The 26,757-nt window shown below is 47.5% G+C and overlaps 4 annotated features.

Annotated features, from left to right (window-relative positions):
* Window positions 14,300–14,594: an enhancer, noted in NCBI's record as "tiled region #4389; K562 Activating DNase matched - State 5:Enh". NCBI's record gives its function as "activates a minimal TATA promoter and a strong SV40 promoter by Sharpr-MPRA in K562 cells {active_cell/tissue: K562}" and the evidence as "EXISTENCE:reporter gene assay evidence [ECO:0000049][PMID:27701403]".
* Window positions 20,190–20,239: a silencer, noted in NCBI's record as "silent region_19429". NCBI's record gives its function as "represses an Ori minimal core promoter by ATAC-STARR-seq in GM12878 lymphoblastoid cells {active_cell/tissue: GM12878}" and the evidence as "EXISTENCE:reporter gene assay evidence [ECO:0000049][PMID:35858748]".
* Window positions 20,846–21,375: an enhancer, noted in NCBI's record as "H3K4me1 hESC enhancer chr8:102109675-102110204 (GRCh37/hg19 assembly coordinates)". NCBI's record gives its function as "activates a minimal SCP1, AML or CMV promoter by ChIP-STARR-seq in naive H9 embryonic stem cells {active_cell/tissue: H9 hESC(naive)}" and the evidence as "EXISTENCE:reporter gene assay evidence [ECO:0000049][PMID:30033119]".
* Window positions 21,376–21,903: an enhancer, noted in NCBI's record as "H3K4me1 hESC enhancer chr8:102110205-102110732 (GRCh37/hg19 assembly coordinates)". NCBI's record gives its function as "activates a minimal SCP1, AML or CMV promoter by ChIP-STARR-seq in naive H9 embryonic stem cells {active_cell/tissue: H9 hESC(naive)}" and the evidence as "EXISTENCE:reporter gene assay evidence [ECO:0000049][PMID:30033119]".

Below are 26,757 nucleotides of genomic sequence, written 5' to 3' on the forward strand. Positions count from 1 at the left end.
CTCATGAGAGACTTTGAAGCAGAAGCTAAGCTCTGTCCAGATACCTGACCCATACAAATAATGTGAGATAACTGCTTGTTGCTTAAATCACCAAGTTTGGGGATAACTTGTTTGCAGCAATAGATAACTAACATAAACACTTACTATAATGTGCCAGACACTGTGATAGGTCCTTCATAGATCTGATATTTAATCAACAATATTAGGTGGGTATTATTATCCCTTTTTTTTTTCAATTGAGAAAACTAAGGTTTAGGCATCTGCCTAATTCCTGTTACTATCTAGTAAGTGAAGGATCTGGATACGAACGTAGGTCGTCTTATTCCTGGGTATATGCCCTTAACATGGACTCTCTACATTCTACAAGCAGTGCCCATGGTTACAGTTTGGTCCACTCCTGCTGCCCCCTGTGTTGCCCCGCCCCACCTTCCCTGAAGTCTGAAGCCACCCAGCCCTCATGTCTCAGCAGGGCCTGGAAGGAGCCCTGGGGATTCCTCTTAAGTGTTTTGAGCAGAGTCTCACTCTCCATGCTCAGCTGCCTCAGCCAGGCTGTGCCACCTACATCCAGCTCCATCCCTCCGTGGACAGCTGTGGCCTGGCCCCTAGGAACATAGCCTCTTGTCCTTGCCTCCTTGCCACCCCTTACCCTTGGCACTTTCTGGGGTCTTAGAAGCCCTGGATAGTGGTGTAACCCTCGGGTGGGGTAACGGTACCCTTTCTCTGACCCTGGGCTGGAGGTTACTTCCTTGGAGGCCATATCATCTCTTTTAGGACCCCCAAAATACAAATTTTCCATGGATTTATATCATGGGGCTAGGGGAACCCAGAGGGTCCTGCTCCCACTCTAGGGGACAGAGAACCCTAACCCTGTGGGTCCCTCCCTGGTCTGCCCAGCCTTACTCTTCTTCCTCCACAGTTTCACTGGATAGTGGTTTGTTTCAGGGCATTCCCGGGAGACTTAAGCTTGCCACTGCCCCTCAGTCATGTGAGAGATCCCCTCCTTGGGCCTTTGCAGGGAGGCAGGGGTGGAGATGTATGGGATGCTACGTGCTCAGTCCTGGGAGACCGTGGAATTCCTTCAGATCACAATATCTATTGGCAATGTCATCAAGACCTTTGGCACATTGGCTGAGTCTCAAGAGGTCTATAAATGAATGATTATATCTGGCTAATATTAAAAACAAAGAAACATACTAATTAAACCGAACCTGAAGAGTTAGAACTGACCCTTCCATCTCTGTTCTCTGTTAACCCTTGGCAGGAATGAGCAGTGCCCTATGGCACAGAATGAGCTTACAATGGGCAGATCAAGGTCCCAAGGCAAGCTTTCCCTGGTGGCAGGAGAACTGGGCACTTGTCCCGGCTCCACCACCTGCTGTCTGGATAATCCTAGGAGGTTCACCTCACTCTCTGAACCTGCTTCCTTTTATATTAAACAGGAGGCTGGAGCAAGTCACCGCCAAGGTCCTTCTAATCTCGACTCTGCGGTTTTATGGGACTTTGTTTAATAATTGTTTCTAGGGCTGGCCGATGAGCAGGGTACTCCCCTTTCTGTTCTGTGATCCTCTCCTCTGCTCACGGGCTCCCCGATCCCTCTGCCTCTACCAGAACCAATGTTGCTTTATCTGAGCCACGGTTTCACATTGAAGTGCTCTGTGAGTCAGAGGCTGAAGCACTCAAGGCCCAGCAACAAAGTCTTGGGTAAAGGAGCAACATCTTCTGCTTTCCCGGATCATTCTCAACAAGCCAGGTGTTTTCTTTCAGAGGCACACACAATGTACCAGTCTCTAAACACCTGCAACAGCCCTCCTAACGCCCACTGGGAAGTGGGGAAAGGTGTGGCACAGTGACTGACCTTTAGCCAGCTCCCTCCTTCTAGGAATCAGGTGCCATGCTGGGGACGATCCTATGTGTAGACTCCATTTTATAGAGATGGGAAGTCAGAAAATGCTAGAATCAAGACTTAAAACTCAGCTTTTTGATTCTCAAGTTCATGAGAGCAGACATTATTTCATTAATTCACTCCATACATGTTTATTAAAGGAGTCTCAATGGATAATCTGAGTTGGCTTCAGGGTGGTTTATGAAGCAGAGAAGTAAAATGCTTTACTAAGTCACATGGCTAGAGAATGCATTTAACTTGCATTATACATTTAGACACCTTTCTCTGGTAGGACTGACTCAGAGCCCATTTAAAATAAATTCAAGGCCGGGTGTGGTAGCTCATGCCTGTAATCCTAGCACTTTGAGAGGCCAAGGCAGGAAGATAGCTCGAGTCCAGGAGTTTGAGACTAGCCTGGACAACACAGTGAGACCCCCGTCTACAAAACAACAAAATAAAATAAAATTAGCTGGGTGTTGTGGCATGCACCTGTGGTCCCAGCTACTCAGGGGGCTGAGGCAGGAAGATCTCATGAGTCTGGGAGGTCGAAGCTGCAGTGAGCCTTGATTGCAACACTGCACTCCAGCCTGGGCAACAGAGCAAAACCCATTTTGAAAAATCAAAAATAAAAATAATAAAATAAATTCAAGAAAATGACAGTTGGGCTCCTCTGTCTTCGTCTGGTTTCTAACAGGACTTCTCCTATTCCAATGGATGTTCTTTGGCCTCCAAAACAGCAGCCCCACCTGGTATTGAAGGGCCGGTGTGTAAACAACCTTCCTTCTATCTTATCCTGGCTGGGTTTATCAGATTTGACTCACTCCCTGGAGCCCCTTGCAAGGACTGGGCTGGGATTGCAGGGCTGAGCAGGAACCGGCTTCTCTAGCCTCTTCAGGGAAGGGCCTTCTAAACTCCACTCTGCCCCATACCCTCCAGCTAGAAACCCAGCCTCCTGCCTTTGGGGAATATAGCCCCAGTAAGGGCTCAGTGTCTTTTCCACAAGCTCTTTTCCTATGGCCTTTAGGGGCACATGACTTTGAGGAAACCAGACAGCTGGGGGGGACATGAGAATCAGGGCCAGTGCTTGCAGGAAAGAAAGCAAACGCTCTGAATGTGAGCCAGATGGCAGGTCCCCCACACAAGGCAGGGGGCTCAAGAACACTTCCTTTCATGCTAGCAGTACTAGCTGCTCCCACCTTTGTGAAATGCATTTTTGAAAGCAGAACAAATGATCATTTAATTTGAGAAGCCCACACCTCTTAATACTCATAGTATTTTCACCATCATCCTGGCCCCTGGTCAGCTGGAAGAGCAGCAGGGGAGGGGAAGCATCACTTTGGTTTCTACCTCCCAGCTGGGGCAGGTGCAAGGCAGCGCACTCCATCAGCTCCTTGCCCAGAAGGGCAAAATGATGTCTCCTTTCTCCCTCTCTTCCTCTTTCCCTCTCTCCCTCCCTCCTTCCTTCCCTCTTTCCTTTCCTCCCTTCCAACATTTTTTGAGTGAGGATCTTCTGCCAGACATTGTGCAAAATTCGGGGAATCCAAGGTACAGAGAGGAGGCCTGGCTCTGCCCTCCTGGCCCTTCCAGTCCAGTGGGGAGGAGAGGCCTCTTGCCAAGACATGGCAGCTGTGAGGAATGCTACAAAGAGTTTCTGGGTCCTGCGGGGTGGAGTGACTGGAGTGACTGAAGTTACCCGCCTGGGTGGGGTGGGAACAGGACAGGCTGTCCTGGAAAAGTGATGTTTGGGCTGATACCAGAAGGGGCAAACGCGGGATGGAAGTGACGGCATCCCAGGTAGAGGAGAGGGCCTGGGCAATGGCTGTGAGGGAGAGCTCAGGAAATGGGAAGGCCACCAGTGTGGCCCAGGGCAGAGAGGTCAGGGGACCAGGCAGGAGACAGGATGTGGGGGGAGGCCAGTGCAGAGCACCTGGGCCACAGCCACGGGTCAAGTTCGTGTTTATGCTGGGAGCCTGGGGAAGCCGGCGAGAGACTGGAGTAGGAGTGGCCTTCAGGTCTTGGGGCGCCCAGTACAGTGCAAGTGATGGGCTGGGGCCCCTCCGCCCTCCTTGTCAAGCAGTGTCCACGGATAAGGGCGTCCCGGGGCGGGGGGGGGACGTGGGCGAGGAGATGGTGGAGCTGGGGGAAGGGACAGGGACAGAAGGCAGAAGAGTCACCCTCAGCGTCACCTTCTCTCCCCTCCCTACTCCGGAGGCCAAGCGCCCCAGCGGGAGGCTTCCCTGCCCGCCTCGGCCTCGCTTACACCGCAGGTGCTGTGAGTCACCCACCTGCGTGGTGAGTCAGGGGAGGAGGCCGAGAAGGCAGGTGGGCGGCGCGGCAGGGCGCCGGGCTTCGCGGGGAGGGGAGCGCTGTCTCCCCACGCGCCCCTCCCCCACGAGCGGCTTCCAGAAACCCGTTTGCCCATCCCCGGCAGGAGGCCTCCGCCCGGCTTCTCGCTCCCTCTTCCCTCTCCCCGACCCCCTCCCGGGCTGTCAGCCGACTGCCACCGTCACCATGGCTACGCGGCTCCCGCTCAGTTCCACAGTCAGCAGGAGTCGAGCAGGGGAGGCGGCTGTCTCCTTGGTCTTCCTGCTGCACCGGGTTCTTTGAAAATCAGCTCCTGACTGCATGTTGCGGATTCCAGGCCCAGCCCCCTTACCTGGAAGGCTCACCTTGAAAGACGGCAGGATGAGACCAGGAAACGGGGCCACAGGCATACCAAGGAAGCTTATTTTGCCTGGCTTCCCTTTTTAAGCACGGATGCATACCGGTGTGTTGGACATGACTGATGAACCAAGATTTGAGGAAGGCCACCCACTGAGTGACTGGAGGTAGACGTGGAAGGCTTTGGTTGCCATAGGCAACTTGGGGCCAGAAAGACCTGGATTCAAATTCTGGCACTTATCAAAGGGATAAAGTGGGACAAACAATTTTACCTTGCTGGGCCTCAGTCTCCTCATCTGTAAAATACGGATAATCCCCCCTTGGTAGATTGGGATGAGGATTAAAGATAATGCATGCAAAATATTTGGCACGTAGCAGGTGCTACCAAATGCTTATTGTTGTTGTTATTACGGAGTTCAGAGCCCTTTGAGATGCTCCACAAGTGTTTGCTGATTTGAGGGTGGCACAAAAGGCAGTTTTCCCCAACACCAATTGAAAGACTCCTTGGAGTGTGAATTTCAAGATGGTGGGGTACAGCAATTTCTACCCTCTCGTCGAAAGTCTCATCTCTGCTGGGAGACTGTGTGACCCAGAACCACAGTATAGGAAGATGGTGGAAGGTGAAGGCATGAGCAGAGAAGAAGGGAGGTCCAAGCTGAGTGCCTAGGAACAGGGGTGGCCTACATCAGAGAGGCCAGTTGCTATGGCCCATAGAACCTTGCTAGGTCTCAAGGACTGGGGCATTAGCTGCTGTGGAAGGGAGTAAGGTGAACACAGAGGCATTATTTAGAAGTGTTTACAAGTATTTACAACAGGCAGACAGACTTGCAGGTCTCAAGCCCTACCCACTTCTGCAGGAGAGGAAGTTTATTTTCTAGAGAAATTGGACCAGAGACTTCGTGCTAATAATACCAGGTTCAGAGGGAGGCTGCGATGGGGTGAGTTTGCACAATGAGTGAGTGCTTCCCTGACCTAGCCTTAGAACAACAGGGGCAGGAGATTGAAGGATTTCTTTTCTGCAAAAACCGGACCCACTTAAAAAAAAAAAAAAAAAAGACTTACATACATTGACATTTTAAAAAATGTTTTATTGTGGGTACATAGCAGGTGTATATATATATATATATATATATAGAGAGAGAGAGAGAGAGAGAGAGAGAGAGAGAGAGAGAGAGACATTTGGAGGCTCCTAGCAAAAATGCCCATTATCTATCTGATCACCCTGGAATAAAATACTATCCACGTACACAGAACTTCCAATCAGCTCTCAGCACTTCCAATCAGCTCTCAGCTCTTCAGGGCCTCCTTAAATTTGAGGGGCAGTCAGGGGTCATCACTGAAGAAACTGTCCAATATCACAGAGAATAAAATAATCAAACAGAAAAACAAAAGCATCTAATGAAGGCAGCAGAACAATGAAAAAGCAGGAGAAGCTGAAGATAAATTATAATTAATATCTTTAGAGGTATAAGGGAAGATGTTATATCCACAGGATGTGGTGAAAAAGGAACAAGCAGGGCAAGAAGGAGTTCCAGGAAGTTAAAAATATGAGATCTAAAATTTCAAAAATTCTATAGCAGTGTTGGAAGATAAAGTTAAGGAAATTTCCCTGAAAGTAAAGCAAAGAAGGGCAATAGGAGAAAAAAAGATAAGAAATCACAAGAGCAATTCAGGAGGTTCAATATCCAATAGGTAGTTTTAGAAAGACAGAACAGACAACATGGTGGTAAGAAAATTATTTAGAAAAAAATACCAAAAAAAAAAAAAAAAAAGCCGTAGAAGAACACAAATCTTCAACTGAAATGCTCCAAATGCCCAAGGTAATAGCTGACAACAGCCCCGTACCAAGATACACTGTTGGGATATTGCAGAACTAGAGATGGAAAGAAGATCATAAGAATTTTCAAAAAGAGAACTAAAACGCTTACATAGAAAGGATCAAGAATTGGAATGACACTGGACTTCCCGATAGCAACATGGGAAGCTAGAGTACATCAGAAAAATGCCTGCAATATCCCTAGGGATATTTATTTTTGGCCTAAAATTCTATTTCAGCCACACTATCAATCAAATATGATTGATAGTATCAGTCATTGCCAATCCATAAAGACATTTGCAAAATACAAAAAAAATTAAATGCAAAATACAAAAACATTTATATCCAGCGTATCCTTTATTGGGAAGCTACTGGAAGATGCTCTACCACGAAAAAAGAAGGCTTCTAATCTTTTTGTTTGTTTGTTTTGTTTTTTGAAACAGAGTCTAGCTCTGTCGCCAGGCTGGAGTACAGTGGCATGATCTTGGCTCACTGCAACCTCCGCCTTCCTGGTTCAAGGGATTCTCCTGCCTCAGCCTCCCGAGTAGGTGGGACTACAGGTGCCCGCCACCACGCTGGGCTAATTATTTGTATTTTTAGTAAAGATGGGGTTTCACCATGTTGGCCAGTCTGGTCTTAAACTCCTGACCTCATGTGATCCGCCCATCTTGGCCTCCCAAGATGCTGGGATTACCGGCCTGAGCCACCTCACCTGGCCAGAAGGCTTCTAATCTAACAAAGGGGAGAGGCACAGGGAGGTTCCAAGATGAAGCTATGGACAGGCCCTGGGACCAGCCGGTCCAGGTCAGCAGAGTGTTGCAGGGCTCTGGGAAGAATTTCTCCAGGGAAACAATGGAATGATTGTAGCCAGGTTTGAGATGTCAAAAATTGTATAAAGTGTTGATTTGCAGACTTCTCAGAAATATGGAAAGACTCAGATGTTTAGAGAAAACAAAGCAAAAGAAAAATGTGAAGGAATTATCAACTCCAGGAAGAAGAAAATGTGGAGAAAAAGAAATGTACTATCATTTCACTACTTGGCTCAGCAGTGAACAATGTTTACTTTACATTATCATAATAATGAAAATGCTACATGTAGATTTAACAAAAAATTGATACACAATTGGAAAGAAAGAAAGTGAAGGAAGGGGAGGAGTAAGTCATCTAAAACATTCACTTACTATAGTGGGAAATAAGTGAATCAAGAGAGAGGAGTATTTGCCTGCTATCTAAAAATATAAATGTAAATATATATATAAAAATCTATGAATGTTGCTTCTGGGGAACAAAAGGAAGATGGGGTAGGAAGGTAGTCAAGGGACTTCTACATGTATTTTGTTCTTAATTTTTTTATTTTTTGAGACGGAGTCTCGCTCTGTCGCCCAGGCTGGAGTGCAGTGGCGCAATCTCGGCTCACTGCAACCTCTGCCCCCTGGGTTCAAGAAATTCTCCTGCCTCACTCAGCCTCCCTAGTAGCTGGGACTACAGGCATGCACTACCACTCCCAGCTAATCTTTGTATTTTTAGTAGAGAGGGGGTTTTGCCATGTTGGCAAAGCTGGTCTCAAATTCCTGATCTCAAGTGATCTGCCTACCATGGCCTCCCAAATTGCTGAGATTACAGGTGTGAGGCACCACGCCCTGCCAATTTTTTTTTTTTTTTTTTGAGATGAAGTCTCGCTCTGTTGCCCAGGCTGGAGTGCCATGATGTGATCTCGGCTCACTGCAAGCTCCGCCTCCCGGGTTCATGCCATTCTCCTGCCTCAACCTCCCGAGTAGCTGTGACTAAGGCGCCCGCCACCAAGCCCGGCTAATTTTTTTGTATTTTTTAGTAGAGATGGGGTTTCACCATGTTAGCCAGGATGGTCTTGATCTCCTGACCTCGTGATCCGCCTGCCTCGGCCTCCCAAAGTGTTGGAATTACAGGTGTGAGCCACCGTGCCTAGTCCCTGCCAGTATTTTCATAGAATATAAATAAAAATTAAACATCCAGTTAAGGCAAGAAGGCTGGACCTGCATTGGTCAAATGATGGCTTTACCTCCCCAGTACACCTCTGGGGTGATTTTCAAATTCCTCAATCATCAAGTCAGCAAATACAAAGTGACAGACATGTGCATGCCAATAGGAGAATTTCTGGAACTGGGACTGCCATTCCTCCTGGGAAAATGCCAACAATAACAACTAGCAATGGCTACCACAGGTTTTCAAGGCACCCTGGCAAGTTAGACACCATGCTATTCCCTATTTTCAAAAGCAAACACCAAGACATAGACAGATTCAGGATTTCATAGACGTCTCTGATGTAGTAGGTGGTAGAGGCAGGACCTAATACCAGGTCCTCCATGGCAGATTATCTTTTCAAAGATGGACCCATCCCTCATGCTCTTCTCCTACCCCTTCATCAAAAAGTGGAGTCTGTTTCTCCACCCCCTGGAATCCGGGAAGTTCTCATGACAGCATTGACCAATACAACAGAGTAGCAGTGATGCCGGGGACTTCTAAGGCAAGTTATCAGAAGCCTTGCAGTTCTTGCTTTGTTCTTGTGGAATGTTCCCCCAGAACATTGTCTTTTGGAAATGAGCTGCTATCCTGGGAGAAGCCAAAGCCATGTGTAGAGGCCATATGGGCACTCCAATCTACATTCCTGCTGGGCCAGGGTCCACTGCCAACCACATAAGAAAGTGGCCATCTTGGACACTCACCCCAGCTGAGCCTTTGGCTCACTCCAGCCTCAGTCACTGACTAAACTACATGTGAGACCCCAAGTGGAGTCACCCAGTTCAGCTGCCCACCCACAGCACAGTGAGATGATAGGAAGATTGTTTGAAGCCACTGTGTTTCGGGGGATTTGTTATGCAGCAACAGATAACTAGAACATCATCTGACACCAAGGTCCATATTCTTTCCTGAACACCATCCTATAAGTGGTTCTCAGCAGACACATATGGGACAATTTTTATTTTGCAGAACTTCTCTGCACCCTGTAGGACTTCCAGCATTCCTTGTCCACAAATACAACGTCTCTTCCCCCATACCATTGTGATAGCTAAAAATGCCCTCATATTTTTCCAACGACTTCTAACGGTAACATCCCCAGGTGAAGTCTCTTAAGTAGACAAAACCACCTTGAGCTGGTTTAAAACTGAATTGAAAACCTCCAGGTGGAAAAGACAGAGGGTTTTGTTGTTGTTGTTGTTTGTTTGTTTTTTGAAGACAGGGTCTCACTCTGTCACCCAGGCTGGAGTGCAGTGGCACAATTACAGCTCACTGCAGCCTCTGCCTCCCAGGCTCAAGTGATCCTCCCACCTCAGGCTCCCTAGTAGCTGAGACCACAGGCATGCACCACCTCACCTATTTTTTTTGTATTTTTTGTAGAGATGGAGTTTCACTGTATTGCCCAGGCTAATTGCAAACCTCTGGGCTCAAGTGATCCTCCCACCTTGGCCTCCCAATGTGCTGGGATTACAGGCATTAACCGTGGAGCCTGGCCAACAGAGAGGTTCTGTTAGCAGGGAAGGATAGAAAGGAAAAGCATGTAGGGTATAGTTACCAAAGTTCGACTGCAGGGCATCTCCCTGCCCTCCCCCTGAGATCTAAATTGCTGGTTGAAACCTCTTTGGCTCTCCTCTCTCTAAGCCTGGTGGAAACTGTTGTAACTATGCCCATGGGGGGAAAGGGTGTTGATGTGGGAGGAAGCTGGGAGATCATCTAGTCTAACCCCCTAACTTCACTGAGCCAGAGAGGGGATGTGCCAGGACCCCCCAGTGCAAGTCCCACATTCTTTCCACCACTTCAACAAGGAAACAACTGTGATTGAGGTTATTTAGGTGGCAAATGGACACATTTACCTTTGGCATGCAGGATACAGTTGTCCACGTTGGCCTAGCATGATTGCTGGTTGTGTGAGTTTGCTAGGGCTGCCATAACAATGTACCACACACTGAGTGGCTTAAACAACAGAGATGTATTGTCTCTCAGTTCTGGAGGCTAGGAGTTCATGATCAAGGTGTCAGCAGGGTTGGTTCTTTCTGAGGACTGTGAGAAAGAACCTGTCCCATGCTTTCCCCTAGCTTCTGGTGGCTCACTGGCAATCTTTGCCATTTCTTGGCTAGTGGATCTCTGCCTTCATCTTCACATGATGTCCTCCCTGTGTTTGTCTATGTCCAAATGTCCTCTTTTTATAGAGATAGCACTCCTATTGGATTAGGGCTCACCCTGCCTCAGTACGACTTCATTTTTGTCTTAACTAAACTAATTGCATCTGCAAGGACTATTTTCCCTCCCTCCCTCCCTCCCTCCTCCCTCCCTCCCTCCCTCCCTCCCTTCCTTCCTTCCTTCCTTTTCTCTCTTTCTTTCTTCTTTCCTTCCTTTTCTTCAGGGTCTCACTCAGTCACCCAGGCTGAAGAGCAGTGGCGTGATCATGACTCACTGCAGCCTCAACCTCCTGGGCTCAAGCAATCCTCCTACCTCATCTTCCCGAGTAGCTGGGACTACAAGCACACACCACGACATCCAGCTAATTTTTTTATTTTCTATGTTTGTACAGTTGAGGTGTCCCTATGTTGCCTAGGCTGGGCTCGAACTTCTGGGCTCAAGCGATCCTCCCGCCTCAGTCTCCTAAAGTATTAAGATTACAGGCATGAGCCACCGCACCCGGCTGACTATTTTCTTTAAATAAAGTCTTATTCTGAAGCACTGGGGGTTAGAACTTCAGCATATAAATTTGGAGGGGGGGATACACAATTCAACTCATAACACTGATGTGATAAACTCAGGTGCTGTATGTTTCCCATGGGAAGTGTAACCTTGAAGATCTTCCATTTGCATCTTGCTTTGATTCTTGGCTTAAAACTCTGTGTGAAGCAGTGGATCTACCTGAAAAATTTTATTAGCCCAGGTGAGACCAGGAACCTGTCTCCTTTTTCCTGAGACGGCATGTTGCAGCCTGAGCTCTGCTATGGCAACTATAGAAAATCTTTGACGGGCCTCTAATCTGCTTCAGTAGACACACCTGTGTCAGCTGTGACCTACCTGTGAGTCATATTTTGCCTTCAGAAGGATCCCAAAGTGTATTAGCTGGCTGAAAACTACTAAAAAATGTAACCACCTGGGAGGATAATGCATCTTACAGCTTTAGAAGCACAAGGTATTTGTGGACAGACAATGGAATTCGAGAGAATATGGGAAAAGCTTGATGTCATTGCAAGTCCAGGGAGATGTATTCAGTCATTTATTTATTCATACTTTTTTTTTAGCAAGTTCTTATTGAGCACTCAAGATGAGCTAGACACTGTGAAAATCTAGTGGGAAAGAAAACCATATGAGCGATTTCTAATTGTGGTAAATGATGCAAGGCAATTGACAGTCTGTGGTAATAAGGCACAATATGGATATTGAGTTTTAAAGGTGTTCCAGGAGCCCTCTGTAATGAGGCACCATTGAAGAGTTTAGAGATGCATTCCAGGTGGCAGGGCAGCTTGTGTGCCGGCCCTGAGTTGGGGATGAACTTGGTGTGTTTAAGGAAAAAGCAAATATTCAATGGAGGAGGCAAAAGGTGAGTTGGAGAGCAAGGTGTGGGCATGGACGGGGAAATAGGATGTTATGGGATAGATGAAAAGCCCCTGAGGAATTTCAAGCAAGAGAGTGACATGATTTGACTTCTGTTTTGAAAACAATGTCTCCCCACCCATCAGAATGGCAAAGATTAAAGTTTGAAACACACAAAGATGTGGGAAACAGACTGACTCATCTATTGCTGTGGAAGTATAAACTGATACTGACCCTAAGGGGAGAAATGTGGCAGTATTTATCAGAATAAAAAATGCACATACCCTTAGACCCAGCAACTTTTCTTTCATGAATTTATCCTGCATGTGTATGTTTTAAAATCAATATATGGAAGGTTACTCATTGCAACATTGTGTATAACTACAAAAGATTGGAAAAGACCTAAATATCAATGAAGGACTAAATCTAACAATATCAACCAATGAGGATTTGGATAAACATACATTGTTTATCCACACAACGTGCTGCTGTGCAGCTGTAGGGATTGAGTGAGTTCTTTATGTACTGATACTAGTCAGTCTCTGAGATATACATATAGTCAATTTTTAAAACCACTTGTATAGCGTATATATCATTTGTATAAGTATAGGATGTGTGAGTTTGCTTGTGTGTCTACTGGGTCCTCGAAGAAGCAGACACTGGGTTGGAATTAGAAATGCAAAAGATTTATTGGGGGAAATGACCATGCAGGAAACAGGGGAGAGGGGGCAAGCAGTAGGGCAGGAAGAGCTGTTAAATCCCAAGGCTGGTCTGAAGCCTGGAAAAGGATTGGGAGAAGGAAGGAGGATGGGGTAGGAAGAGCCTCAGACTGCAGTGCAGCTCTAGAGAAGATCTCAGCCATAGAGCCAAGAGTACCATTAAAAGAGCCTTGTGTCAGGCAGAACTGGCCCTGCTCAAGGCCTTCCGCTGGGTTGTCATTGGCTGGGAGAAACCTGGGGAGAATGTGGCCTCAGTATGACCACTGTGGTGGGTTCCTAAGTGCAGCAGCCAGAGGCTGTCAGCTGACACTCCTCACTGTAGGTTCTCTGTTGAAGACAAGTCTGTGCTACCCCTCCATGGCTGCCACAGATTTATATGCACGGAGCCCCTCAGGAAGGATGTAAGGTACAACACTACATACCAACTACTCCGGAAGAGAGGAACTGGGTGGCCGGACCACAGAAGTGGGAGGCGGACTTTTCACCATGTCCTCCTCCCCACTATTTGAATTTTTTTTCAACATTTAATTGAGTGGCATTTAGTGTGTTCACAATGTCATGCAACCACCACCTCTGTCAGTTCCAAAACCTTTTCATCACCTCAAAATGAAACCCTATACCCACCAAGCAATGACTCCCCATTCCCTCTTCTCCCTCCCTCCCTCAAATGCTGGCAACCACCAATCTGCTTTCCATTTCTGTGGATTTGCCTATTCTGGGTATTTCATATAAATGGAATCATACAATACCTCACCTGTTTCATCCGGCCTCTTTCACTTAGCATAATGCTTTCAGGGTTCATTCATATTGTAGCATATATTGGTACTTCATTTCTTTTTATGGCTGAATAATATTCCACTGTATGAATACATCCCAATTTGTGCATCCATTAATTCATTGATGGACATCTAAGCTATTTCCACCTTATGGCTATGTGGATTAGCGCTGCTAGGAATATGCATGTCTGTGTATTTGTTTGAATACTCACTTTCAATTCCTTTGGCTATATACCTAGAAGTGGAATTGCTGGATCATATGGTAATTTCATGCTTAACTTTTAGAGGAAATGCTGAACTATTTTCCAAAGCGGCTGCATTGTTCTACACTCCTATCAAGGTTCCGATTTCTCCACATCCTCACCAACACTTGCTATTTGTTGTTTGGTTTTTGGATAGTGGACGTCCTAATGGGTAGGAGATGGTATCTCATGGTTCTGAGTTGCATTTCCCTTATGATTAGTGGCCTTGAGCATCTTTTCCTATGCTTATTGTACATTCGTATGTCTTCTTTGGAGAAATGTCTATTCGGGTCTTTTGCCCATTTTTTTTAGTTGGCTTGCTTGTCTTTTTGTTGTCAGAGTTCTCTATATAATCTGGATACTAGGCCCTTATCACTATTTGAATTTTATTCCATGTAAATTTGTCACTGGCTCAAAAAGGAAATAAAATGTAAGATGCAAAAGAATAAAAAAGTCTTGGCTGTGGACAATAAGTGCGTATGGAAGCCAGGGGACTAGTCACTAAGCTATCTCAGTGTCCAGGCTGGAGACAGTGGTGGCTTAGGCATGGTGGGGACAGTGGGGATGGAGAGAATTGGGAAATGTGAGATGGGAATATGGTTTGGATGTAGGGGTGTGAAGAGAGAAAGGGAGGAATCAGGGTTCTTATTTGAACTTCTGGGTGGGGGTGCCATTTACCTAGAGGAGGGGCAGGCTCCGGACAGAGTGTAGGAGTAAGGAATGAAGGGCTTGGCTTTGGGCATGTTAGGTCTGAGGCGCCTGTGAGTCACCTAAGTTGTGAGGCTGCACGGGGAGTGTGATCTGTGAGTGTGCAGTTTAGATTTCCTGCTGATACTTTCCCCTCAAAATACTGCCAGTATCTGTAGAGGACAACTGGCCATTTCCAGGTGGGGAGAGGAGACAGACACGCTCCTGGGAGGCGAGAGAGGAGGAAAAAGGCCTGACGGCAGATCGCAGTTGATTCAAGTGTCCACCCGAGGGGGCTTAAGCCTGAGAATGACATGACATGGTTTGCATCATGGAAAGATCTCTCTGGTGGCAACAGGACAGACAAATGGGAGGGAGGTCAGAAGGAGGCACAGTGGGGAGTATGGGAGCAGAAGCAGCGCAGAGCCGGTGGCTGTGGAGATGAGGGTATGGCCTGGATATGGCTGGGATATGAGATGGGGAGGGGTCGGTGGGCTAGAGCCACTCCCAGCTTTCTGGCCCAAGTTTCTGTGCAGGCGATGGCACCAAGTCCCAAAAGCAAATGGAGGAGGAAGGGCAGGCTGTGTTGGAGGAGGAAGAAGGAAGCCAATCCTTAGGAAGCGTAAACCTGACTCTGTTCTCAGGGACAGGCCTGTTGTGGTGAGAATCTGTTTCTCATGCTGGCTCTCGTCACACCCCATGGCAGCCCTGTGCCGGGAACGTCAGGAGATCCTCATTCAACCAGGGTCAGCGACTCTTCCCTTCCTGGCCCCCACATCAGCCCTGTCACCTTAAACATGCTGCCATCACACATCTCGCTTCAGCCACCATCCTGCCCCTGTCTTTCGACCTGTCCCCACCTTCAGTGCCCCCATCTGTCCTTGACACAGAGGCCAGTCTATGTCCTTACATTCTGCCATCAGTTACTGCCTTCTCCCCCAACTCTCACATTACTGCCTTCTCCCCATCCTCTTGTCAAAATCCAGTGGCTTTTGCTGACTGAGAGTTAAGCTTCACGGTCCTCACATTCTGAGCTCCCCCTTCTTTTCACCTGTTAATATATTTATCTTCTTTGCAGACCCAGCCAAAGTCCTTTCCTCCCGCAACCCTCCTCCCTCAAAGCAGCCCTCCACGAAGCCTTCTCGGGCCACACCGAGCTCCTTTCCCTGAGCTCCGCAGGTCCTGGAGTCTGCCGCAGAATCCACACTTCCTGACATGGGGCCCTGGGCTCTTCATTGCCTTCCCCACTTGGCTCTTGGAGGTGGACGCCAAGACTTGTGTCTAGAGCGTCCTTCACAGAGAAGCCAGGTGGGAGGGAGACAGTGACCATCTGCCTCCACTGTCCCTGTGCCACAGCTCTGTGTTCTCAGCTCCCAACCTATCCTCCCTTGATGCTTGTCTTGACAGACAAGAAAGACTGCCCACCATAGCCCTTGGCCTGGCTCTGCTGTTCCTGAATCCCCACGGCCAGCCGTTCATTCTGAGCAGCCTTGGCGGTGTGCGAGCAGGCCCGATGGAGGATCCTACACTGGGATCCCCCAGACCTCACCAGGGAAGTTGGTTGCCATTGGTGGTGCGGAGCTGCATGGACAGGGATATGGCTGAGATCATCCTTCCCTTTCCTTCCTGCCCCCTTCCCATCCTCCTTCCTCACAGCTGCAGCACCTGGCTGTGAATCACAGGAAGGCAAGCACTGGTTTGTGGAAATACCTAAGAAGGCCGTTTCTCTCTTTTCTTTTCTTTCCTTTTTTTTCCTTTCCTTTCTTTTTCCTTCCTTCCTTTCTTCCTTTCTTTTTTTCTCCTTCCTTCCTTCCTTCTTCTTTCTCTCTCTCTCTCCTTTCTTTCTTTCCTTCCTTCCTTCCCTTCCTTCCTTCCTTCCCTCCCTTCTTCCTTCCTTCCTCTCTCTCTTCCTTCCTTCTTTCTTCTTTCTTTCTTTCTTTCCTTCTTTCTTTCTTTCCTTCCCTTCCTCCCTCCCTCCCTCCTTCCTTTCTTTCTTTCTTTCTTTCTTTCTTTCTTTCTTTCTTTCTTTCTTTCTTTCTTTCTTTCTTTTTCTTTCTTTCTTTCTTTCTCTCTCTCTCTTTCTTTCTTTCTTTCTTTCCTTCTTTTTTTTCTCTAAATATTAGCTGAAAGAGCTTAGGCTCAAGAGTTCTGAGAAAATCATTACTTTTCTAAGTAAAACTAAAGCTCAGACCTTCCAGTCTTTGCTACAAAGGAAGATTTTCTACAAAGATGGTGGGGGGCATTTTCACTTGAATCTCTGACTCTTGTTCCCAGGATCAGTTTTCACTGGGTTCTCTCTTTCCAAATTGACCACAGAAGAAGTGTGTTTAAACAAGAAGTGACTGAAGGCTCGGGGATAACTAAGAGTTAATCTGTTTACACAGTGAGATGGCTCAGCCTGGCTGTGTAGACATCACCTGCTCATTGACCCTTAGGCCAAGGCTTACTGGCGCTACCAAGGAGTCTAGAATCCTCCAGTTCCCCGCTTGGATCTCCATATGGCCCCCCACCCCCTGGAGGAGGAACCCACAGTGCACCAGCCATTTAGTCCTCACAAGCAGGCAGGGCGGAGTTGGGCAGGATTCAAAATGAGGTGGCCTGACACACACCCCCTGAGCTGACTCCCTGCAGAGGATGAGGGGCTGTTGTCCTGCTAGTGTGACATGAGGGTCACTGGACAGACCCTCTTGTCCTCAGATCATCTTCTCTCCCCCTTCTCAAGGTGCCTAAAACGGCTCCATTCAGGATTCACACTGCTGAACTTACTACGTTTTGGCCTTCAAAAATTCCCTAATAAATGCAAATACTCCATAGTCTGGTAACATTTTTCCTTTGATTGATAAGTCTGGATGAGGCAGAGAAGAAAAGAGAGTTTTATTTTAACCATTTTAAAGTGTACAATTTAATGACTTCCAGGACATTGACAGTGTTGCACAACCATCACTTCTAACTCCAGGACATTTTCATCACCCCAAAAGAAACCTTATACCCATTAAGCAGTAACTATCTATACCTCTCCCCTCCAAAGTTCCTGGCATCCACAAATCTAGTTTCTTTCTTTCTTTCTTTCTTCTTTTTTTTTTTTTTTTTTGAGACAGAGTTTCGCTCTTGTTGCCCAGGCTGGGGTGCAATGGCAGATCTCATCTCACCACAACCTCCACCTCCCGGGTTCAAGCGATTCTCCTGCCTCAGCCTCCCGAGTAGCTGCGATTACAGGCGTGAGCCACTGTGCACAGCCCACATATCTAATTTCTGACTCTATGGACTTGCTTATTCTGGCCATTTTATATAAATGGGATCCTATAATACATGACCTTTTGCATCTCACTTTGACTTAGCATCTTGCTTTCAAAGTTCATCCATGTTGTAGCATGTATAGTACTTCCTTTTTTATGGCTGAATAATATTCCATTGTTTGGATATATCACATTTTGTTTATCCGTTCATCAGTTGATGGACATTTGGGTAGTTTCCACATTTTGGCTCTTAGGAATAGAACTGCTGTGAACTTCCATGCACCAGTTTTTGTTGGAATACCTGTTTTCTATACTCTTGGATCTATACAGTACCTAGGAGTGGAATTGCTGGGTCATGTGGTAACTCTACCTTTGACCTTTTGAGGAATTGCAGACTGTTTTCCAGGAACAGAGATTTTTAAGAGTGAAATGTTTTGAGAGTGGAGAGGAAGCCCAGACATTGGTGCTGCCAGGGGGTGAGAAGGTTAAACAAGGAGCTCAAAAGGGGGAGAGGGGAAGGTTCAACACAAATTACCCAACTTTCCAGTCTGTCCCAGAAGCTGGATGACCATGGTAGTCAACAGCCACGTTTCTCCCCAGATCTTTCTCATCTCTCCGCCTACCACCCAGTGCCTGGCACAGAGCGCTTGCTGGTAAACACTGGTTGGACGCATAGCTGTCTACCGAGCACCAGCTCTGACCCTCACTCTAGTCCCTCCATCCTCCCTTCCATTTTCTCCCAATGTCTCCATCTTCGCCTCCTCTGATTTGAAGCAGAGCTTTGTTCCAATGTCCTAGTTTTGTCTCGGGCATACGAGTGCAGCAGTCGGGGACCTCCTTACCCTTTCCAGAGCATGCATGGTGCATTTGGAGGCTGGGCGCTTACAAGGTGAAGGCAAAGATGCAAGCCAGGGAGCACATATTGAGGTGGAGGAAAGAGACCGTGACTCGGAGCATAATTACTCACAGGAGTTATGGCAAGGGGGCATCCCGGGCAGCATGAAAGGTAGGATTGCTTTGCAGTGCTTAACTGTGAGGCTGCGCCATGAGGGGCCCCTTCCTCTTCTGGCTCTCTTCAACCTGTCTGTCTGAAGAAATTGCCAGCTCCCTCCAGGGAAGAGCAACAAGCAGCCCAGGATGGAAATTGAGGGGAAGACACAGGCCTCAGAGCTGGGGAGTGGGGAAGGGTGAGGGGAGTAGGAGGGTCTGAGAGAATGAGAACTCAGAGGGAAGGAGTAAGGAGAGAGGGAGATCTCGGGTGAGGGCTGGCAAGCTGAGGGTAGGACCCACACACTGGGACACTTGGATGGTCTTCCCCATATTTACTGGGTCATTGTTTCCTACAGCCTACGTTTCTCAGGACATCCAAAGTGACTCTTCTAGAATAGGACCCAGATCATGCCACTCCTGCACTCCAGTACTTCTGCGGTTTCCCATCTCAATCAGATTAAAAGCTAAAGCCCATAAAACGGCCCACCGGGCCCTACGTAATCTGGCCTCCCACCCAGACCCTCCACTCCTTCTCTGACCTCTTCTCTGCCCTCTCCCCGTCTTTCCCTCAGCTCCAGCCTCCTTACTTCCTGCTGCTCCTGAGACCTGCCTCAGGGCCTCTGCATGCCCTTTTCTCTGCCAGCTCACCCTTCCCCTGATGCTCATGTGGCCAGGAGTCTCACTTTCTGCACTTCTCTGCTCAAATGCCACCATGTGGGCGAAGCCTTCCTTTACCACTGTTTATAAAATGGGAACTCTACCCCCACCCTTTGCACCTTCTAATCCCCATTCTCTGCAGTATTGTTTCTCTACAGAATGCACGATCTGGCACACTTTAGATTTCCTTTGCTGTCTCTTTTTTTTATTAGGATGTAACTCCAGAAAGGCAAAGAGTCTGTTTTGTTCTCTGATATATTCCCAGTCACTAAACCAATATTGGGCACATAGTAGGCCTTCAATATTGTGAAATGGATGAATAAACAAATAAATTATTGAACACATTTTTTCCCGAAATCAATATATTTATAAAGGAAAAGTCTCAAAAATCACTTGGATTCTTAGTGCATTGTTTCGTTTCAAAACTTATCATAGAAAAATAATTTTATTTTCATGGTTGGGAACTACAATGACAGGAGGTGGCCAGAATCTCTGGGGACCTGTCGCTGACCACACTGTGCCTTTCTCCAATGTCTTAGCAGAGGCCTGGTCCCACAGTAGAGGCTACTGTGCGTGAGGTGCTGCTGCTGCAAGCTGCCTGTCGACTCTATAACCATCACCAGGAGTTTTCCTCCTGCTAGCGTGATGCCAAGTATTGTCTCTTCTCATAGATCATGCTGGCTAAATCCGAGGTCAGAATTCAGGGGAAATTCCTCTGAAGTTTTGGAACCAGGAAAGACTACATGGCTGCCCACCCCAGAGAGGGCCTAACCACAGAACCCAGAAGGTCTGACACAGTGAGCCTTCTTTGCTCTGGGGGACCTGCTACCCTCTATGGGTCACAGAGCCAAACTGTAGCTTAGCTCCCTGCTTTGCATTTGGGGAGAGTGTGAGATTTGCATCCAAACTGGCCAAGATGCTTAATGCTGAGGCCAGCTAAGAGAAGTGAGAGGAGTGTGTGGGGGTGGGGGGTGGAGAGAGAGAGAAAGATTGCGAGAGCGTCTATGTTCAAGTGGTCGGGTGGGGGTGGGTGGTGATCGCTCAGGGCTGGGGAGGAAGAGCACATGGGTTTGGGAGTTAGGAGTCAGTGAAATGTGGGTTCAAGTCCTAGCCAGCCCCCTTATGATGCATACAACAATGGGAAAGTCATTTCACTTTGGTAAGTGTCCCATTCATGAGCTGTCAAATGGTAGGCGTTTGGCCAAATAATGCTTCAGATACCTTCTAGTTAAAAAAGAAAAAAAAAAGCACAAAAATTCTATAGCTCAATATCCAAGGCTGTATTTAGGCCACTACACATTGCCCACTAAAGATTTTTTTAACATGTCTTTGGCCATGTTAAGCTGAATATTTCTACTGTCTCTGGAATGGAGGTTGCACTTTGGAGAACTGGGAGGTTGAGGGGGAGTCTTTTCCCTTCCCGCTCACCCTGTCTGGGTCCACTGACGCCCTGATTATAAAGTAGAGTGTGTGTGTGTGTGTGTGTGTGTGTGTGTGTGTGTGTGTGTGTGGCAGTGGAATGTGGCAGAATGACAGGCTCCCACCCATGGTCTCTGGGTAGGCAGAAAATGTGCAGAAAACACGATGTCCATCGGCCATGGCTCTGGCAAGGGGAGCTAGCCCATGCTTCTCACACTCAGTGTGCTGCTTCTCCTCAGGACTGGCTGCAACCTGAGGCTGGGCTGGTGGCCTCTATTGTTTCTCAGGATCCCAGTAAAGCGGCTGGAAGGTGAGGGAAAGAAGGGAGTGGGTCTGCCTCCTCCTCTGTTTGACTCATGGTTGTAACTTGTCAGCACATTGACAGGTTTTTTTGTTTTTCAGTCAAATGCCGCTTTTGTTGGATGTCTGAGTGAAAAGCATGGTACACTCACATAATCAAAGCCCTGCCGTGTGTAGGGGGCGGTGGGGGGGGCAGTCAGTCTTTATTGTATGAGCAATTGTATATTCCCGAAAGCCAGAATAATTTGAGGCACAAAATCTAAATAGATTTCTGCTACTATTAGATTGCTTGAATGCATTTTACGAGAGAGAGAGAGAGAGAGAGAGAGAGAGAAGCTGCTTTTGCTCCTCCTCCACCCACCCTCTGAGATGGGTGGCGGCTGACCTCGCAGGGGACAGTGGTTCGGGCAGGAAGGAGCTGAGTGGCGTGGGCGTGGGAGGCTCCATGCTCCTCCAGGACAAAGGCTCTGTCTTCATGTCTGACCTGCAGTGTCCCGTGTCGTCTGGGGCTCACCCTGGGCACTCTGGAGGTGCTGGTGAAGGAGTAACTCAGGAAGGGCAGGACAAGTGATGAGCGTGTGCATATCTGGGGCCCCAGAAGGCTATGGGGGCAACTGTGTGGCTCTTGCCTGTCACCAGTAGGCTTTCTGACCCCTGGGCTCTATCCATCAGGGTCACCAATGAGACTTACTGACCTGAAGCTCTCAGAGTTGAAGCTCACGTCCTCAGGCCACATCAAGGTGCAGCCATCCACTAACCCCAGCATCACCCTGCTTTGTTTCCGCACTGAGTACCTGCTGCTCCGTCACCCTCTCAACTGTGCCAATTGCAATTCTTCAGCATCCATGGTGATTTCAACATCCATGGGAGATGGTCTGTTAACACCCTGTCCTCTCGTTCCTTGGTCCCCTCTCCCACCTAGATCCTAGACCTTCCTGTTACTGAGAACTGCAAAACCTTCATAACTTCTTCACTCACCTCCCAACTTCTCAGCTCTGCCCACTCCTTCCAGAACCCCAGTTCCCGCTATTCCTCAACTGGATTGTGACCTAAAGTCACCAATCCTACCACATTTTAAGTGTCTCTCATCACTCTCATGTTCCCCATTTCCCGCTTACCCAACATAAATTCCATGGTCAACCACCCTTACAATGACTCATATTACACATGAGTCATTGGAATGGTGAGTGCAATGTAACTGCATATCAAATCTGTAACCTCACAGGCACATTAACTCCCCAACCCTCTCTCGCCTTGTGGTGCTCACAAAATTGCAGTCCTGGTTGAATCCAACCCTCTGTTTATTTCATAGCTGTCTGACTCCCCCATCTCAGCAATCCAACCCCACAGTTGAACATGGACAGAGAAAGACGTTACAAGCACGCTGGTTGGTTTTATTTTGAATTAAAATGAATCCTTGGTGCTTACTGAAAATGCAACCATGCTCCCTCATCCATTCATTTTCTTATTTTCCTACACGACTACTTTTTCACTGTCTGTCCTCCAACCTCTAGCATCTCCATCTCCATCCTCACTTTCCATTGGTGACATTGCTTCTAATTTCACTTAGGAAATAGGAATATTAAAGGGAATTGCAATCGGTCCATGTATCATATCTACTCATCCAATGGCAACCAAACCCACACATTCTTCCTTCCCTTCTGTGTCCATGAATGACCACCATGCTCCCTGCTTGTGGTAGAATGCCTATGTCCTAATGCCCAGAACCTGCGAATATGTTAGCTGACACGACGAAAGGTATTTTGCAGATGTGATTTAAGGTAAGGGTCTTGAGATGGCGGGATTATCCTAGATTTTCTGGGAGAGCCCATTGTAATCACAAAAGTCATCATTAGAGGGAGGTAGGGTCAAAGTCAGAAAAGGCCAAGTGCAGGTAGAAGCAAAGGGAGAGATTTGAAAATGGCCAGGAGCCAAGGAATGCAGGTGTCTTCTAGAGGGTGGAAAAAGCAAGGAAATAGATTCTCCCCTAGAGCTTCCAGAGGAAATGCAGCCATCTGGATACCTTAATTTCTGACCACCAGAAGTTTAAAATAATAAATTTATGTTTGTTTTAACTTACTAAATTTGTGCTAATCTGTTACAGCAGCAATAGGAAATAATACATCATTAAAGTCGCCGGCTTCTCTTGTACTCCAGCCAGCAATTCTGCCCTCTCTCCTACATCATCAAATTTTCCCTCTTTTGGATAATCTTATTAACACATACATATACTGATTTTTTAATTAAAAAAATAAGCACAGAACCTCTCTTGTCTCTACATTCTGCTCTAGCGATGAGTCTATTTCTCTGCCACTTATTGTAGAAAACTTCTGAAGAGTCTGTCCTCTCAATCTCTGTTAAACCTTCACCAGTCAGGCTTTTTACCTTCCACTCCTGCTCCATTGAAATTGCACTTGCCAAGGTCATGGATGACCTGCAGTTACTACATCTAATGATCCATTCAAACTTGTCTATTTTTATTTTTATTTTTTTGAGACAGGGTCTCACTCTGTTGCCAGGCTGGAGTGCAGTGGTGCAATCACAGCTCACTATAGCCTCAACCTCCCCAGCTCAAGCAATCCTCCCACCTCAACCTCCCAAGTAGCTAGGACCATGGCTGCATGCCATCATGCCCAGCTAATTTCTGTATTTTTTGTAGAGATGGTGTCTTGGTATGTTCCCTAGGCTGATCTCAACTCCTGAGCTCAAATATCCTCCTACCTTGGCCTCCCAAAGTGCTAGGATTACAGGCATAAGTCATTGTACCTGGCCTGACTTATCTTTTTCTTTTTCTTTTTTTTTTTTTTTTTTGAGACGAAGTCTCACTCTTGTCACCCAGGCTGGAGTGCAATGGCGTGATCTCAGCTCACTGCAACCTCCATCTCCCAGGTTCAAGGGATTCTCCTGCCTCAGCCTCCCGAGTAGCTGGGATTACAGGCACCCGCCACCACGCCTGGCTCATTTTTGTATTTTTAGTAGAGACAGGGTTTCACCATGTTGGCCAGACTGGTCTCAAACTCCTGACCTCAGGCGATCTGCCCGCCTCAGCCTTCCGAAGTGTTGAGATCACAGGCGTGAGCAACCTCACCCGGCCTGACTTGTCTTCGTAATGGACCCATCACAGCATTTGACGTAAGCTGTTCTTCACTTCTTGCAGCCTTGCTCCATTGTGTCTGAGACGTCACACTCACTTAGTTCTCTTCTTTCCTCCCTGGCTTCTTTTCTGTCTCCTCTGTGGGTTCTCCCATTTCTTGGATCTCTAAATGTTGGGGTGCCCTGGGCTCTATCCTCTGATCCCCCTTCTCTACCTGTCCTCAGTGATTCCATCCAGTCTTACATCAACAAATGCCATCCTTAGGCTCCTGATTCCCAACTTTATGTCCCGGCCAGAACATCCTACTCCAGGCTTGGACATCCAACCCCGCACCTTGTATCTCAACCGCACGTCTGATTCGTGTTTTACACTTCCCTCTCTAAAACAGAACTTAGTCTACAGCTGTTCCTCCCTCAGGCTCTCCCAGCTCAGCTCATGTCCCACCATCCCTTTAATTTCTCAGGGGAAACCCCTTGGAGTCAGTAATCCTTCACTGTCACCAGATTCACCCCATCAGCAAAATGCTTGACTCCTCCTTGAAAACACTTTCAATGTTTGACATTCTCATGTCTTCTTCCACTTCCACCACATTTCCAGTCGCCTTTATCTTTTACCTGTACTAAAATGAAGATCAGACCACATCACACATCTGGTTATTTCCATGGATTTTCCATGGGTTTCCCATCTGAGTAAAGGCCAGAATCCTTTCTAGGCCTGACAGGGCCCCACCTGACCTGGCCCCCTCCCCCTCTGAGTTTATCCCCTGCCACTCCAGCTAGTCGGCTTCACTCCACCACCCGGCCCCTCGCTGATCCCAGGGCCACCCCCGCTCAGCACACTTCCACTCCCAGCCTGCTTAACTTGCTGTAACCCTGTCTTAGCCTCCTGGGGCTACTGTAACAAATGACCACAAAATCGATGCCTTGAAACATCCAGAATGTATTATCTTATGGTTCTGGAGAGCTGAGGTCCTAAAGTCAAGGTGTCAGAAGGGCTGCGTTTTCTCTGGAGGCTCTGGGGGGCAGTCTGTTTCCTTGCCTTTTCCAGCTTATTAGAGGCTGCATTCCGTGGTTCCTGGCTGCTTCCTCCATTATCAAAGCCAGCAGTGTAGCCTTTTCCAATCTCTCATTTTGTCATCACTTTTTCTGACTTTGACCCTCTTACCTCCCTCTTTTTTTTTTTGAGATGGAGTCTCTCTGTCGCCCAGGCTGGGAGTGCAGTGGCACGATCTCAGCTCACTGCAACCTCCGCCTCATGGGTTCAAGAGATTCTCATATCTCAGCCTCCCAAGTAGCTGGGACTACAGGCGTGAGCCACCACACCCGGCCCCTCATACCTCCCTCTTATAGGGACGCTTGAGTTTGCATTGAGACCACCCAGATAATCCAGGATAATCCCAGTGTCTCAAGAACCTTAATTTAATCATGTCTGCAAAGTAAACCAACATATTCACAAGTTCTGGGGATTAGGACATGGACATCTCTGGTAGCCATTATTCAGTCTGCCACACTCCTCTATCTTGAATATTATTTCTCTAATTATGATTGATTATTGTTTTTGAGACAAGGTCTCCCTCTGTTTGCCCAAGTTGGAGTGCAGTGGTACAATCACAGCTCACTACAGCCTGGACCTCCTAGACTCAAGTGATCCTCCTGCCTCAGCCTCCTGAGTAGCCACCAGCATGCCTGACTAATTTTTTATTGTTTGTAGAGGCAGGGTCTCACTATGTTGCCCAGGCTGGTCTCAAACTCCTGGCCTTTAGTGATCCTCCCACCTCAGCCTCCCAAAGTGCTAGTATTATAGGTGTGAGCCATCACAATCGGCTCTTCTTGTAATTATAAATACATCTCCCTTGCTTCCTTCAGGTCAACTTAATGTCACCTTCACATCAAGACCACCCTTGACTATCCCATATAAAACAGCCATTGGCCAGGTGCAGTGGCTCACTCCTGTAATCCCAGCACTTTGGGAGGCAGAGGCAGGTGGATCACTTGAGGCCAGGAGTTTGAGACCAGCCTGGCCAATATAGTGAAACCCCATCTCTACTAAAAATACAAAAATTAACCAAGCATGGTGGTGCATGCCTGTAATCCCAGCTACTCAGGAGGCTGTGACACTAGAATCGCTTGAACCGGGAGGCAGAGGTTACAGTAAGCAGAGATCAAGCCACTGTACTCCCGCCTGGGTGACAGAGTGAGACCCTGTCTCAAAAAATAAAAAATAAAAAAAACCCCAGCCACCTCCCACCCCAACCCTATGCTCCCTTTCCTCCCTACCCTGTTATTTTTTCTATAGCATGCATCACTCCCTGACGGACCATGTATTTTCTTGTTTGTTTTCTGTAGTGAACGTAAGCTCCACAAGGACAGGGATGTTTTACTGCTAGATGCCCAGCAACCAGACTATGTCTGGCACATGTAAGTATTCAATAAATAATTGCTGAAAGAATGAATGGCTGACAGCAGTGCCAGTCTCCCAGCATTGGGTACTCAGCTGGGCCCTTAGGAGACCAATGAACACCAGCAATGAACTTGTTTAAGGCAAACTCCAAAAGGAAAGGGGCCAAACTGTGCAGCCCACTTTAATCAGGTTCTCCATAACAGTTGCCAAGTAATGAACACTTACTCTATGTGCATCCCTGAGACTAACACCGTGCTGTGTTGTCTCACTGATTGTCGTACCAGCAAATGTGGGTAGTAGTGGATGCCTATTTTTCAGAGGAGGTCCCTGG

This window comes from Homo sapiens, chromosome 8 (genome assembly GCF_000001405.40).
Source record: "Homo sapiens chromosome 8, GRCh38.p14 Primary Assembly".
NCBI classification, from domain to species: Eukaryota; Metazoa; Chordata; class Mammalia; order Primates; family Hominidae; genus Homo; species Homo sapiens.